The sequence below is a fragment of the Homo sapiens genome, chromosome 18 (genome assembly GCF_000001405.40).
Source record: "Homo sapiens chromosome 18, GRCh38.p14 Primary Assembly".
NCBI lineage: Eukaryota > Metazoa > Chordata > Mammalia > Primates > Hominidae > Homo > Homo sapiens.
The window spans coordinates 39169187-39186513 of NC_000018.10; the positions used below are offsets into that span (position 1 = coordinate 39169187).

Sequence of the window (17327 nt, forward strand, 5' to 3'; positions counted from 1 at the left end):
AGAAAAAATAGAGGCAGAAAGAGAGAGAAAGAATGTTTAGGAAAACAATGTACTCAGCTTAATAATAATAATAAAAAAAGAAGACATTACACACATTCCTTTGAAGCTTAGGAATTGTGATTGGCAGTCTATGGAGAATTGCTGGAAAAGACGCTTCATGATATACTTGCTTCACTTTCCTCCTTGTTGTTTTTTCCTTCTTCCTTCCTATTTGGAATGTAGATGTGAAACTGGAGACAGACTAGCCATTTGTGAACATAATATGGCCGTAAGGATGAAAGAAACCATATACAAACAGAAGAAAGATTGAAGAAGTCTCAGACACTGATGAGGATGGGCAGCGTCTACAGGATTTCTGAACTTTCTATTTCTGGACTTTATTACATGAGGAATGGATGCACATCTCTGGCACCATGAAGATAGCTCAGAGGCATCTCAAACTAAATAGAGATGCAAAATAAACTTTTGTTCTTGCTCCACAGTTATATTTCCCCAGTGTTCCCAATCTCAGTACATTTCACTTTATCGATGACTCTTAACAGATAGTACTGAAATGTTTTTTCCATTATTCTTCATATTCAATCTATAATCAATACTGTATCTTCTTGTTCCAAAATATATCTGGCCTCAGTAGACACTCTTCCATTGCCATCACTAGGGAATCAGAAGGTAGGTTGCATTTTAGTTTATAAATTTATTATTTTGTGGATAGAAATGTCTTCATTTTTATTTCCATACTGCTCTTAATTTCATTCAAGTTTCCTTTGTAATCTCTATTGATTTTCATCTCACCAAGAAAAAAAACAAAGCCGTTGGTGTGTTTTTGCTAAGGCGGCCTTTCTTTACCTTTCTGTGCTAACCTTGAGCATTGCAAGCTCTTACCTACCTCAGAACTTGCACACCTTTTATTTCCATCACTCTTACCTAACTCCACTGTATTTTTAAATTTCTACTTCTCAGATAACTGTTTTTAGCCAGTTGCTTCTCTCTTGTTCTAACTTTACCAGACATCTAGTTTGTCTTATTTTACTCTACTCTTTACTCTTCCCAAGTGGTACTTACAGTAATTGGGTTAAAATATGCATTTGGGGATTGCTATGGTTTGATATACTTTTCTTGTGTTGAATTTTTTGTTGAAATTTGATCCTTAGTATGGCAGTGTTGGGTGGTGGGACCTAGTGGGAGGTGTTTGGGCTATGGGGGTTGATCCCTCCTAAATGGCTTGATGCTTTTCTAAAGATAGCAAGTTTTTACTCTTGCAAGACTGGATTAGTTCTCATGGGAATAAAGTAGTTCCCTTGAGTAGGTTGTTATAAAGCCAGGTTGCCCCTCAGGCTTCTCTCTCTTCGTAAATGTTCATGTCCCTTTTGACCCTCTTTACCATGTTTTGATGCAGCATGAAAGCCCTTGCCAGAAGCCAAGGCCAAGCTCTTGAATTTCTCAGCCTGCAGAACTATGAGCTACATAAACCGTTTTTCTTTATAAATTACCCAGTCTCAGGTATTTCTTTATAGTAACACAAAACGGACTAAGACAGGTATTTAATTATATCTCCATTAGACTCAATGTGTCAGGAAGACAGACTGTATCTATTTGTTCACAGCTTTATTTGCAGTGGTAGTAGAGTGCCTGGCACAGAGTAATAATATATAATACATATTGATTGAATAAAGTAACATAGAGAACTCAGTGGATTGATAATATATTGGAAAAAATAGATTCTCTATTGAAAATAATTAAATAATTTTATCTTATAAAAGTAGACCAAGATCTGCCTTGACTGTGCATTGGTGATTCAAAGCATGTACTATAACTTGGAAGCTACAAAAAATAAAAATAAAAATAATTTATCGTTATTTATCTAAAATGAAAGCTGCTGGAAAATAACCAAGATAGTTTAGTGATGATTCCATTGCACTAGAAAAATTTAAGTTTCTTAAATCTAATCTAAGGATTTGAGGAACTGCAGAGGGGCCATGCACTCACAGTCAAAACTGTAACACTCAAATGTAGAACAATTTAAATTTCGGCAAACTACTTAAAGAAGTGGCTCACAATTCTATGGGAAAATGATCATTTTACTATGCACTAATAATAACAATAACAATAGCAATTATTAGCACATGTGTAACATATTACTGTTTACACAGTATTTTTATTTTTATATCTCATTTCCAAGCAGGGTTTTTCAGATTAGATTTCTTTCTGCAAAGTACAATGTGTTCTCCTTTTAATACTTCAAAATATACACAAAATACTCATTATTGTATAGCTACATTTGTACATAAAACAAAGTTCACATACAAAATAACACACATACAATCTCAGATCAAGTAAAATCTTAGTCCTTTTCTGCTGCTATAATAGAATACCACAGATTGAGTCATTTATAAAAGAAAGATTTATATGGCTCGTGGTTCTGGATGCTGAGAAGCCTAACAGCATGGCACCTGCATCTGGTGAGGGTCATCTCATGGTGAAGGAGTAGAAGGTGGAGGGCATGTGAGACAGAAAAAAAAATCAGGCCAAACTTGTTTTGGTAACAAGTTGTTTCACACTAACTAAACAGCTCCTATGATAATTGCATTCATCCATTCATGAGCACTCGTGACCTAATCATCTCTTAAAGGTCCCACCTTTTAATACTGTTAAAATGATACTGGAATTTCAACATAAGTTTCGAGGGGAATATTTAATCCATAGCAAGTAGATACAATCCATTAGTAATCAGCAGAATTGCAGCTTGGCTTTTTAGTCTGTAAGAATATTGGTTCTTTTGATGGATAATTTTTATCCTCATTATAAACTCTTGGATCCTCCACTTCTTCCATTCTCCTGACACACACACAAGTAATATTTTTTGATCTCTGGCAAAATGTTATACAATGCTGACACTTACACTTTTGATTACCAAGGTTGATTCTTGCAATATACTTACTTTAATTAAATAAATAAATTAGTTAACTGTTCTAACACAAATATTTAAGCACATAAAGCATTCTCTATATAAATTTTTTTTGAAAACAGAAGTTTATTTGTCCTGTGCTAGGGAGATACTGATAGGCATTAGCCAGTTAATGTACAATAAGTATAATTCATAGCTACAAATTGAAAACATGAAGTGACAATTTCTTCCAACATATCACTGAAGAATTTTTTTTCTCACCATCACCATAGGCCCATAAGGGATGCTGAAAGGTTTCTATATTGAGTGAAAGGAGTGATGTATCACTTCACCTCCTTAGTAAAGGATATGGGAATATTCTCCAAGGGCAGTCTCTGGCTCTTTGGTAATGCAATGATGATAACTGAGCCTCAACTTGTCCCCTTGATGGGTGAGAAGGAACCACCAAAGCTAGTGAACAGTTGTATTGCAATGGAAGCTATATCTCAGGACCTGAAAATCCAAGAAGAAAGAACTACATGCTTCATATTTAATTATTGGGGCTTGGATAATATTTAAGTGTTTAGGGAAATAGTTGAAATTACAATATATCATTCCCTTTCATTTACCATTATATGTGGGTGAGAGGGGGATAGTGAACAATAAATTACACTACTTAGAGATGTGGGCTAAGCTGTTTGTTGGGCAGCTGTGTCAATAAAGTACAAACATAACATCAGTTTCCCATTACACAAATCATTTAGAGTCATATATTACTCACTATAATGGAAAAAGGGGAGACTGAAATCTAAAATGAAAGGAGAAATTGAAGTACACCCAGAGCAAGTAGCAGCTGAGCCAACAGCAGCCAGCACAGTGAAACATTTAGTCAGATCTCCTGAAAAACAAGTGCTTCTGGCTTTAATGACCCTCGATGTCACATCCCAGAAAGCTGAGGACCAGCTGGGGTGCAAGAATATTGGAAGCAAATTTTTCTTGCTATTCGCAGGTAATTGGAAATAAATAGACGACTGCTCCCACACATCACCCTGCAGATTGTGATTTAGTTCAAGAGTTTTGAAGGTGAATTTTTCTGTCGGTTTGCATTGACTTTGATGTGGATTTTTCAAAGTAGGTGTGATAGGACAGTCATCATGTAGGAATGTCATGGATGAAACAGTGACTGTTTCTTGAAGCTCAGCTGGGGAAAAAAAAATCATGTATTCATCCTTCCATTTCTGCCTGCTTGTTACACAGGTCTATTATTACTGGTTAACATGGTTCCAAAATGGCTGTTCACTCAGTCCTAGAACTGAAACCACAAGCAAGGTAAGGGTTTATTCTACTTTACTCACTGGATAGGTGTCCAAATACTTGCAATTGCATTTACTATTTATTTTATAAATGTAAACAGAATCCAATTTATATTACCCTGAGAAGGCTGGCTAGGAAAAGCATCCTATCATACAAATATGGAATACTTTTTTTTCATTTTTGATGCACACATGCAAAATACACATACAATGTACCCACTTTTGAGGTAGAAGTGTTTCTAAAGTTTATCTATAATTTTACAAGATGTAGTACTAATCAGAGATTATTTTTCTAGATTCATTATATACCTTTGGAAAGTTGCATTGTTTGTGAAAACTTCAACTGTAACAATTAGACTGAGAAAGGTCCCAATAAATTGAATTCAAACTATATTTTCTGAAGCGATTCCATGCAATGTTCATTCAAAATTTCTGTTACACTTTCAGTTTTCAGTGCTCTTTAATACATAAATATCTCTCTGACAGATGTGTTTTCCTGTTTTGTATTTGCACATTTATAAAATCTATTTGTTTTTATAGCTTTAATTTCTCTTTTCCTCAAGGGGTATTTATTAGCACCCTAATATAAATAACAACAAATTACTAAATTTTCTGATATACAACATTCTCCCTCCCATCATTGAAAGTTAATATTGCCCTAAAATACATGAAGTTCAATAAATGCATAAGAAAATGATTTCAAAGATTTTTAAATATTCTTATGCCTGTGTGTCTTGCTTTTTGTTCTCCAACTTTATCAACAACTCTTGAGACACCAAACCATGAGATAAAAGTAAATGAACCATCCTTTTTCATTTTTACAGCTTTTTTCTTCATTGATATTTTATATATTTTTTCTTAGAAAGTTTTATTCTTGTAGTCATGACTTTCAATAATATACTCCTATAATTTGAGTTATAAGGATTTAAAAATATCTATTGACCCTCACCTATCAAAAATGACAACTGAGGGCCTACGTACACAGACTCTGACCATCTGTTTTTCCCACATTGTCATTATTTATATGATGTAAGATTTTGTTTTCCATAACCAAAGTGTAGATCTGGGTTTGGTGGTGCTCAAAGCATAAACAATATGTCCCTCATTAATTAAGAAAATCTAAAACTATGATTGAAAAAGTACATTTAAAAGCATTATTTCTTTTGAGAAATCACAACAAATAAGAAATCTCAAAAATCAAGTAAATACCATTATCCCAAAATCTATAGAAATTGCATATTTTTACTAATAGTCAGATGTGCCTCAAAATACTTTTGTCCTTTTATGTTTTTGCTGTATACTCTTTGCTCATCTTTCCATATGACGAATTTGTAATATTTCCTATAAAATGAACAAAATTATAACTCAGTCTACTTTCTAGAATAGTCAATGGATTTTTTATAGCCAGAAAAGTTCCTTGCAGTTTCATAATTTGCTATTGATTACAAACTTTTAATTTGATAAATAAATTTATTGCATATTTATTAAATTTAGGATAACATTTATCCAAATAACAAGCTATAAGATATGAGAGCATTTTAAATTTCTTCACGCCATGATTAAACTCTGCTTTAAATGAAAACGCATGTTAACCTGTTTGTCATTTATGTTTCATTTGCTGCACTGGTGGCCATTTTCCTTTCAGTTTTATCTGGAGCCCTCAGACATCAGGCCAAGATATGTCACTATGTACACTAAAAAATGATTTAAAGTGTGACTTCCCACACAGACCTACTTGCTGCTGGTAGCATTGATACAGATTAATTCTCTACCCACATAGAATTTCTATTTCACATGATTCCAACTAGAAATGTTATAAATTAATACAGTGCATTTAAAACTGTATATACTGCATATTGAGTGTATTTCTGATGTAAGAAAACATGCATTTTTGACTAGGTGTTGATAGAATGTTTCATAATTCTAAGGATTTTCAAGGACTAGCTTCTAGCTCTATCTTTGTCAAACCTTGTACTCTTTTGCTACCAGGGCACCTCTGGTGCTTGCTCATTTTCATTGTCATATGTCCTGTGGCTTTACAACATTGTAACTTGGCACTGGGTATAGTGGGTGATAGGAATAAGTTATTGCTACCATAGTCCATGGAAATGACAGTGAGTCACATGAGTATATCTTATTAAACCCCAACTAAACATTATTTCCAAGTAAGCTTCCCTTTAGCCGGTTCCCAAAAGTGGTTGCAGTTTTTCAACAGAAGAAAAAAAATGTCAGAAGGGAAGCTGAAGTAGAGATGGAAGTCCTAAACCATAGTAGTTATATCCGTTGTTTGTAAATTTTAAAATATATGAACATGTGAACACAATGCTAGGACCCCCTGGCCCTGAAACACAGGCATACACACCTGCCTTGGAAGGTGCACGTGCAGAGGAGGGATCCTAAATCTAATGCTCATTGACTTCAGACAGTTGTTTTATTCCTTGTGTTACTTTTAAATATATTGTGTGTTCTTTACTTGTTCTTTTACTAATTTATCCATTTGCTTCTAGATTGGATGAATATTACTTTTAGTTTTTCTTTTTTCATAAGACACAATTGTCTGAACACTTAATAGCCTGAAAATATCGATCTATCAAATGCCTTTGGACATACCTAACAGTTTTAAATGAAAAGAAATTTTCATTCTTTTGACAATTTTCTCATTGTCAAATGAGAAAAGAAATTTTCTTATTGATCATATTGAAAATATGAACAATGTACACAGTACTCTACCATCTTCTAACTTTGAATGTTGCTGTGGAGAAGTTTAGAGCCAGTCTACTTTTTCTGCCTTTACAGGGGAGATGATTTTTTAATTTTTTTGGCTTATATGCCATTAAGATTATTTTTTTACATTTGAAGTCCAATAATATTACCAGAACATATCTCTGGAGTGATACATATCAATTTTCCCTGGGAAATAATTTCCCCCATCAATTTTTAGATTTTAGGCTTTATTTTTCACCTGGAAATTTTCTTGAGTTATATCTTTTTTTTCTCATTTATTGGTTGTTTTTCTACTGGGGTACCAATTATGCTTATATTCTTTTACTTTGCCTATCTTTCATATCTGTCTTTACAACTCCAGTCCTTTTCAATTGTGTATTGTAAATTTAATTTTAATCTTCCTTTTAGGCTTATTTTTATCTTATTGGCTGTGATTTGCATAGTACTCATTCTCCTGTGTTGAAATTTCTATTTTTTTCATTTCATTTATATTTTCCAGATCTTGCATAAGATATTAAATTTATTTGTTATTTTAGTATTTCTTTCTCAAAACCATTTATCTTTTCATGGGCTTGTATTTATACTGAGTATTTATTTTGTTAAAATCTCTGGACTTGTTCGAAAATATATTTTTATACATGTATCTGATTTTTGGAATAAAATTAGTCATATTCTTATCTTTTCAATGAGTTACATTCGTCTATCTGTTCATTAAAATCATGCTCTTATTAATTCCTGTGCACATGTGTCTGACTATATAGATGAGAAAGATAGAGACTGAAACCCGTAAACACTGATCGAGAATGAGAAAGTCAGAGAAAAAGAGTTAATCTACCACTTTTCCTCAATAACAAAGTGGGGCAGCTATGAGGCTGCTGACAAAAGCCCAGTCTCTCTTAGACCTTGCTGCAGTGACAGGCAGAGCTTTCAAAAATATCACATCAGTGAACTATATCTTTCTCTCTCCGCGATTTTATAATGCCAAGTGGGGCTCCAAGAATCTTCAGCAGTCAGCCTGTGTACTCCAAAACCTCTTATTTCAAATACAAAGCTTTTATTCCAGTCATCATTGTCCCATTTCTGGAGAGAATGCTCTGTTCTTCAGCTCTCTTTATAATGCATGGTCATAGGTAACCCCTGACAGTATCTGTTCTCATACAACTCACCCATTGCTAAGCATATGATAATCATTTCTCCTACATTGTGATTTGGATTTACAGATTTCTCCTAGATTCATCACACAAATATATTTTTTATTTTTATTGTTTTCATTTGTGGTGGGGCAGATATATTATTTCTCTGCCATAATAAAACCAGAATTCTAAGAATTCTAAGTATAATTTATTTTTGGTAACAGCCAAAAAACTCTTCTCTATAACAATATTCACAAGTAAACCCATGCCTTCCTATATTCTATTTATCTGAGAGCAACTATTCACTTGATCTTCTCATTCATTTTGCAATGACTGCTGAGAAAATATTAAAAAGTTTTAGAGGTTTTTTTTTTCTTTTGGCAGTATTACTGTGGGTCTAAAGTAATCCAGAATGTCTATTTTTTCATACTCTTTTATGTTCTACTTACACATTTTAATTTTTATTAAGATCTTTCTAAAAAATCAGATAACTTTTTGCACATTAAAAAAGTTTGATTTTAGTCAAATATGAAAAATATTTTTTAAGTTTGAAATAAGCAATGTTAAGAAACTCTCAGAACTGTTATTCTGTATTCAAATTCAATAGTATCTTTGCTGAGCAAGAACAATGAAGATTTGAAGCATTTCTGAGGAATCTCCAGTACTCAATTTAAAAATAAGTGGTTAGATATGTGGCACAGGAAATCTGGTATTCATTTATTTAACATTTACATGCAAAAAGTACCTAGAATAGTGTTTAACTTACAGTATTTGACCAAGACAAGTTTGTCCCTTTCCCCACTCAATGAAGCTTGGACCAAACTTTTATCCTGGAAGGTAGCAGTGAGAATGAAAAATGCAAGAATTATATGATATTGTCTATAAATTATTAGGCATCAATGTAATTAAGGAAATCTGTAAAACCAGCAAGAATAGGGAAGACAAAAGGGTATTTTCTGTTTCTTCTCTCATACTCAAGGTATTTTCTGTTTTTCTCTCATACTCAACACTTCAACAGTCTGTCTGTACCAAATCTCTAAGATCTCCGTCCTGTGTAACAATTGCCAATTCACAGGCAACATGAGGGCTGATGCTAAGAAGACCTGACAGCACAGAGCAGAAAAGCACGAAAAGAATCCTATGCCCCTGAGTGGCCCTCTGGACATAGACATTACAAGGTACAAAAATGAGGTCATAGAGCATAGAGCAAGGAAGCAAGGAGCAGTTTCCCTGGAGTCAGTGGGAAAAGAAATAAAGCAACTATCAGAACAAAAGGTGCTTCTCTGTTGGCTTACATGTGATGACATGATAATTTTTATTATAATTTAATGTCATTCCTAAGCTCACATTGCAAAGAAAAAAAGATGTACCTTTGCATAATACATATGTTTATCTGATATACTTTTTTATCTGATATACTCCCTTCTTTCCACTACAACCCCGTTCTCTTATAAAAGACACTTACTCAGTTCCAATTATTTTAGTGGATGTGTTTTACTAAACACTGAGTCTGTGTGAGCAGGACCAATAGTTAGATAAAAGAAGAAGAAATACAAGTCTCTTTCAGTGCCAGAAAACACGCAAAAGTGGAAGGTCAAGGTCTGAAAATATCTTCCATGTAGGAGTTTCCATTAAAGAAATGCAGGTGAGAATAAGCAATCACTATAATACATATTCTGTACTTGCTAATTATGTGGTTTACCATTAGGTTTTTCATCATAAAAAGAACAAAACATAAAAAAAATAAAATTTAAAATTATTCATCTTCTCTTCAGTGAGTTTACAATCTATCTGGAGGGTCTAGGCTAAAATATTCTAAACAATGTTGGGTAACTATTTCTCAGAATTCTTTGATAGTCATACACACATAAATGAAGTAATTATTGAAGTGAGCTTAAAATTAATAGACACATTGCATTTAACTATTTGGTGACACTTTTAATGACCATTGTTATATAATCAGAGAATAAAGGACTTCTAAGTAGTTTGGCTATTTGGATGCAGTAACCTTAATAACCCAGATTTATTAGAACTTCTAAAGAACAATAAGCCAATTAAATGTTACAGATTTTTGCTAATATAAGTCAAATGACTTAGATGGAATAAAAGTAATGATAATATGTTATATAAATAGATTTTATCTCTGCCAGTCCAACCAATGCAGTGACTATTATTATCTAAATAGTTTAAAAGAGAAGTGACATCAGCAAGATGGCAAAATAGAAGCTTTCTACCATCATCTTTCCAAAGTACACAGATTTTGACAGCTACTCACTGAAGAAAGTGCCTTTTTGGGAGTCTGGGATTTCAGCAGAGAAGTTCCAGTACACCACTGGAATGAAAAAAATCTAAGAATAGACACATTGGAAAGGGTAAGAATAACAGTTTCACTTTCCCCATGTCACCTATCTCCTCAGGTGGCACAACCCAATGCCAAGAGATAACCCTTTAACCTGTAATTTCCTCCATGGGAGAAAATACGAGCATTGAGGGTGAGCTCCTGTCTTCCACAGCTTTGCAGATTCTACCCAAGAGGAATACCTCTTTCTCAACCTATCCAGAATATTAAGGAAATTTTCATGGCTGCATGGCCGCTAGAGATTGAATCAGGGATATGAGGAAGGGACTCACAGCAGTCAGGTCATGGAACTCAAAAAAGGGTTGCATATCTTACCAACTACTTCGTAAGTTGTACCAGGAGGCCCACACATGATCCATTTGATTTGACTTGCCTGTGGACCCCTTAAATGGCCACAGACTCTCCTGACACACATGTTCCTCCCACCCATGGATGGCAGGATTTTCTCACATGCCCGCATATGGTAAGTACAAGCTTTTGCAGATGGCCCATAAGCACATTGCCGTCACTCAGCTAAATAATGATATTAGAAGAAGGTAGAAAAACAAACATTTAGGGCACCTAGGGAAAATAAATGAAAGGTTCTCAAAACCACGCCTCATTTGTGGGATTCAGAAAAGACACAGAATCTCAAGAACTCTCCTCTTTCTCCCAGAAGGAATAAGAAGAGTGGAGTGAGAAGATTCATAGAAAAGGACAAGGAGAGTCATATAATCCCTAGACAGGCTGACTGGTAAAGGTTTTTCCTTCCCAAAACCAGTCAGTAAAGACGAAGGAGGTGACTGTATCTTCAAATATAAAGATAGCAACACAAAACTTCAAGGAACACATACCAAGAAACAAGAAATGAAAGGCAAGAACAAGAAATAAAAGGCATCCAAATCACACAGTAATAACTAAATTGTCTCCCTTTGCACATGACATGATGTTATATATATAAATCCCTAAACACTCCACCAAAAATACTGTCTGAACTAATAAATGAATTCACTAAAGTTGCAGGATACAAAATTAACATACAAAATACAAAAGTCAGTTGCGAGTCTATACACTCACAATGAACTCTCTGAATGTAAGTTAGGAAAATAATTTCATTTATAACAACATAAAAAACTTAGAAATAAATTTAACCAAGAAGTTGAAAACTCTGTACTCTGAAAACTGAAAACAATAATGAAAGAAATTGAAGACAAAAATAAATGAAAAGATATCTCATGTTTATGAATTTAAAGAATTAGTATTGTTAACACGTTCATATTACCCAAAGTGATCGACATATTCAATGTAATTCCTGACAAAATTCCAATGTCATTTTTCCCAAAAATAGTAAAACACCATCCTTACATTGATATGAAACCAGAAAAGACTTCAGATAGCTAAAGCAATCTTATGTAAGAAGAGCAAAACTTGAGCATCACACTACCTGATTTCAAATTTTATTACAAAGCTATAGTAGTCAAAACTGTATGCAATTGGCACAAACAGATAAGATATATAAACCAACAGAACAGAATAGAAAGCCCAGAAGTAAACCCACAATATATGGTCAACTAATCTTCCACCAAAAATGCCAAGAATACAGAGTGAAAACAGAATAGTCTCTTCAATAAATGATGTTGGGAAAATTGAATATCCACATGCAAAACAATGAACTCAGAGACCCTTATTTCATACCATAGCACAAAGAAAGCAAATCAAAATGGATGAAATGCTTAAATATAATACTTAAAATTATAAAAATCCTAGAGGAAAACATAGGAGAAAACCTCCTTGAAATTGGCTTGACAATGATTTTTGAATATGATTCCAAAAACACAGGCAACAAAAGCAAAAATTTTAAAAATGACGTTACATCAAATTAAGTTTCTTCACAGCAAAGGAAACAATCATCAAAATCAAAAGGCAACCTATAGAATGGGAGAAAATATTTGCAAGCTCTATGTTGGCTAAGGGTTAATATTCAAAATAGACAACTCATACAACGCAATAGTACAAAAACCAACCAAACAAATAAAATAATATTATTGTGAATAATAATAATAGAAAAACATGATTAAGAAATTGGCAAAGGGCTTGTATAGGCATTTTTCCAAAGAAGACATACAAGTGGCCAATAGACATATAAAAAAGTTTTCAACATCACTAATCATCTGATAAGTGCAAATTAAAAACCACAATGAGACATCACCTTACACCTGTTAGGAAGGCTATTATTAAAAAGTCAAAAGATTGCAAGTATCAAGATTGTGGATATAAGGAAACCCTTGTATCTGTTTATGAAAATATGAATAGGTATAGTCATTATTGAAATACTATGGACATTTCTTTAAAAATTAAAAATAGAACTACCTATAATCCAGCCATTCAACTTCTGGGTATATAGCCAAAGAAAATAAAATCACTAGCTTGAAGAGATACCTGCACTACTAGGTTCATTGCAGCATTATTCAAAATAGCTAATATATAGAAACAACCTAAGTGTCTACCAAAAGATGAATGGATAAAAGTAACTGGGTATGTATATTGAAATATTATTCAGTCTTAAAAAAGAATAAAATCCTTCCATTTGCAACAGCATGGATGAACCTGGAGGACATTATATTAAGTGAAATAAGCTAGGCACAGAAAGACAAAACTGGCTAATGTCACTTATATGTAGAATCAATAAAAATTGAACTTACAGACACAGAGTAGAATAATGATGACCACATAGTGAAAGGTGGGGTAATGGGGAAAAGGTTGGTCAAAGGGTAAAAACTTTCAATTATAAGATGAGAAAGTTCTGGAGATATAATATAGAGTATGATGACTATAGTTAATAATGATGTATACTTGACATTTGCCACAAGAGTATATCTTATGTGTTCTCACCACACATACAGAAAAAGGGATAACTGTGAGATAATAGATATTTAATTAGCTTGACTGTGGCAATCATTTTGCATTGTATATGTATACCAAGGCATGTTGTATACTTCAAATACATACAATTTTTATTTGCCCATCATACCTCAATAAAGCTGGAAAGAAAAAAGAAACAGATATTTGGAATTTTTCATAGTTTAGTTGTTGGAAATGACATAAGTGCAGCAACCATTAAATAAATCCACATCTGCACACACAGACACACACAACCACAAACACATCAGTTAGGAGTTTGCACATAAAAAAATAGAAACAGAAGTTCCAAACTCATTGAAAATCTAAAAACTGGCAGTCATTATAAAACAATTTGTAAAAAAATTTAAAAATGTAAAACATTGTGATTAGTTTGAAAGAACAATATATTTTTTTCTGATGAAATTAAAAGAAAAATAAAATTCTTATAAAATTTCAACCAAACTTAAATAGCAATGAGAAAAAAAAAAGCTGCCTGAAGTTCTCATGTTTTCTTCAGATAATTTAACATGGTATAGATATTCTTGGAGTTGATACGTGATATATCACATATGTGATATGTGATATGTGATATATCACAACTCCAACATAATAACACACATGGCAATAATTTAACTGTGATGTGTATGAAGGACATGTCTCAAGTGACAATTATAGAGTTCCCCAACAGTTTCATGGAGGACTATAAGCAATACACAAAGGGCTTTCTAGTTAAAAAGTATATTCCTGACCCAGCCTGAGATATACAACAGATAAACACATTCTCTCAAATTACAGAGCCTGATCCAATGAGTTGTTTACAGGTATAAGCTAAGAATATTATCCTTGTGCTTTCTACATTTCTTTGGGAGTGCAAGAAGGAAAGAGAGAAAGGATTAGTGCAAATTGAGCTCTATTTCTAATTGTAATACAGACTGGATTGCATCACCCTTGATTTTATAAATAATTTGAAAGAAAATGCAGTGACTGCATAATAGCACATCAAATGGATGGTTGATTAGCTTAGTTAGTTTTATATGCATTTTAGCTATTATTTTCCATTAGAATGGAAGAAACTGAACAAAATTGTCACCATCATGGTAATGCCTGGCAGATAGGAACCAAGGAGCAGTCTTACTTGTAATATGCGAAGTCTGAAGAAACTAATAATTAATTCTTCCATCCGATCCCCTATTCTCAAGTCAATATCATTTCAGAACCATGATTTTTTAAGCATTAGAAGTATGACACATGGGGGACCTTTGATGATCCTCCTGAAGTCTCCCAGTTTGAGATATTGTGTCATGAAAGTTACTTTCTGTTTTATCATGTAGGTTATTTGGGGTGTTATATTATGCCTTAGTATCTTGTTCTGGAAATTTTCTGTTAAATGCAATTTATTTTTTTTTGAGTTTCAGTGTTTCTAGAAAATGGTCCCTCCTCATTCCAACACTTACATAGAAGTCCCTTTCCCAGAAAAAGCCTCTAAGGTTCATGTTGTTAATGTATGTTTCTTGCTCCTGGTGAACAAGGGACAGAGAAAGTAGTGACTAATATCAGAATCATGAGTGAAGATATGTTTTATTCATAAACTTTGCACCTCCAGTGAAATTAAAAGCAAAGTAAAGGGTTGAAGCTATGAACCCTTTTTCCTAGAGCCTGTAAACCAATAAAGGCTTTATATTAGCTATCGATATCTATCTCTGAGTTGCCTTAATAACATCTTATTCCCTGTTTTCACCAGCCATCAATAATATTTCTGCCTGCCCGCTCAGGCCCCTATCTCTGCGTGCAATTGCATTATAAGGGTCTATAAGCCCAATTTGCTTCACATTCTTATTTTTGGAAAAGGCTGGCTGGCTTTTGTAATGAGAACAGCTGCCAAGAAGGCTTGACAGAATTTGTGGCCCATCTGGCTTATAATCTTCACTCAATATCGCAGAAGCCTAAACTCTGAGACCTGCTGATAAGCCCAGGCGTCCAGGCAAGCGATGGCAGCCTTCTCTGTGATTTCTCATTAAGGACAGGGACATCTCTCTGGGAATCTCTCATATCCTGGATATCATATAATTCCTTTTTTCATTTTCTAACAAATACAAGAAAGTTGTATTTTTTGCAATATAGTATCTTCATGTACCCAGATATGGGTGAACAGCTGTTTGGAAAATTTTGATTCTTGAGTATTTGAGTTTTCTAAAATATTAGCTACAATTCCAAAAGAAAATAAAATTTCATTAAATATATCAGAATATATTAACTAATTATTTTAGATTTTAGAGAGGATTCTTTTTTCCATTATATATTTATATACATTTTCCATCCCAGTGCTATCTGTGGCACCAGTGGTTTATGGCAAACAGGAATTTAATTAATAGCATAGCCACTGACTTAACCAGCATTGACTGGACTCTTAGTGGTGGAACAAAGGGGGAAAATGGTAAAGAAACCTCCATTACGGTGCATGGAGAGTATCCTCTTCCTCCTGTAACTTCCCTATTGAGGATGCATTTTAGAAATAATGTAGTTCCTTTCAACCCCCTCTATCCTGTTTCTGTTTTTTTTTTTTTTTTCTGATCTCTCATAGTGTGTTTATTGTCCTTTGAGATACACTACTAAGTATGTCAGAAGAAAAAGAAGATATACTCCCTGTCCCTGGGAGTTTATAACTAGTGGGGCTGAATTTATTGGCTTCTAAACTACTGTTGGGAAAACTGTTACTTTCTCTAGTATTACTGTAGAAAGGGATTCTATACTCTTGTGGATCTGCCTCTACAAATGCAATTTAGTTTGGAAGATCTGCAAGACTTTATATACTATGCTATTTGTCTTCTTTCCCTTGTAGGAATTGCTTTTGCTATATTTCCTGTATTTTACATGCATTTTTTAAAAATAAAATGATAGTGTCAATATTCTAAACAAAAAAGCTCCCATGGGAAAAAATCTCCACAGTAACTCATTAAGAGAAATTCTGAACAAGGAACATGGCTGGTTACTTGTAGAACAGAAGACTGGGTCATCCTGGGAGTCAAGACCTATTGTTGGTCAACTTTTTCCTACCAATTATTTAACAAAGGTTGATTAAGCACAGACTCTGCATTGAGTGCTACAAATGCCCCTAAGTAATGGAAGTTTACATAGGTTAGAAAAACAATAATCTATTTTGCCAAAAGGAGAGTAATGTCCAAAATGGAGGCTTAGATGTTGTGGTTAAGTGGATAACTACCCCAATAGCATGCTAATGGAAATATATCAAACAAAACAAATAAACCCTTGAAAAACATCTAGGACATTCATATTGAGGGTAAGTTGGGGCAGTGGAGAGCCAGCTTGTCCAGAGATAGTGTCCTGCGACCCAGGTATGAATGCATACACGTCAGAGAAAATCTGAGAAAACAAAATGCAGAGCGGATGACCCCATGCCCTGAGCCATAGCCAGAAACAACTTCTGGGACGAACCAAGATTTCATCATGTTGGTGTTAATAGGTTTTCTTTGCCATGTATCACCTTTATTTTCCCAATTAGACTGTATCTTGTAGTTATTAACTCAGTGCTTTTTACTTAGTAGGTGCTTTCAAAGCAGCTGCCAAGTCACTGGTTGTTTATTGAATGTTAAACAAATGCAGATGGTACAAATTTCAAAGCTCTAGACCTAGTAACTGCAGTGTCCAACTCCAAAGAGTCCTAAGTCACTCACTGTAAAAGAACAGCTTTCTAATAATAAGTACCTGCAAAGTTACTACATGGTGGTTAGAATGACTCAGACTTTTTAATAAATAAGCTATGCAAATAATAGGTTTGTAGCCACATTATTTTACATCTGCACAATTTTTATCATGGTCATAGTAGGTTTCACTCTTCTGATATGAACATACATGACAGGGAAATTTTTGAACTAAAGTGAAACGAGAAGATCCCGAATGAGGGAGTATGTGAAAGAACGTCTCCCCTTTCCTGCATGTGAGTAAAATCTATCAGCATTTGGCTGCTCGACCTCATGTTCGGGCATTAATTCCACACTGTATTTCCCAGAAATTGA

At 33.8% G+C, this 17327-nt stretch overlaps 1 annotated feature.

Moving 5' to 3' along the window:
- Positions 14613–15641: an enhancer, noted in NCBI's record as "VISTA enhancer hs851". NCBI's record gives its function as "enhancer in: midbrain (mesencephalon)[4/6]" and the evidence as "EXISTENCE:transgenic organism evidence [ECO:0001131][PMID:17130149]".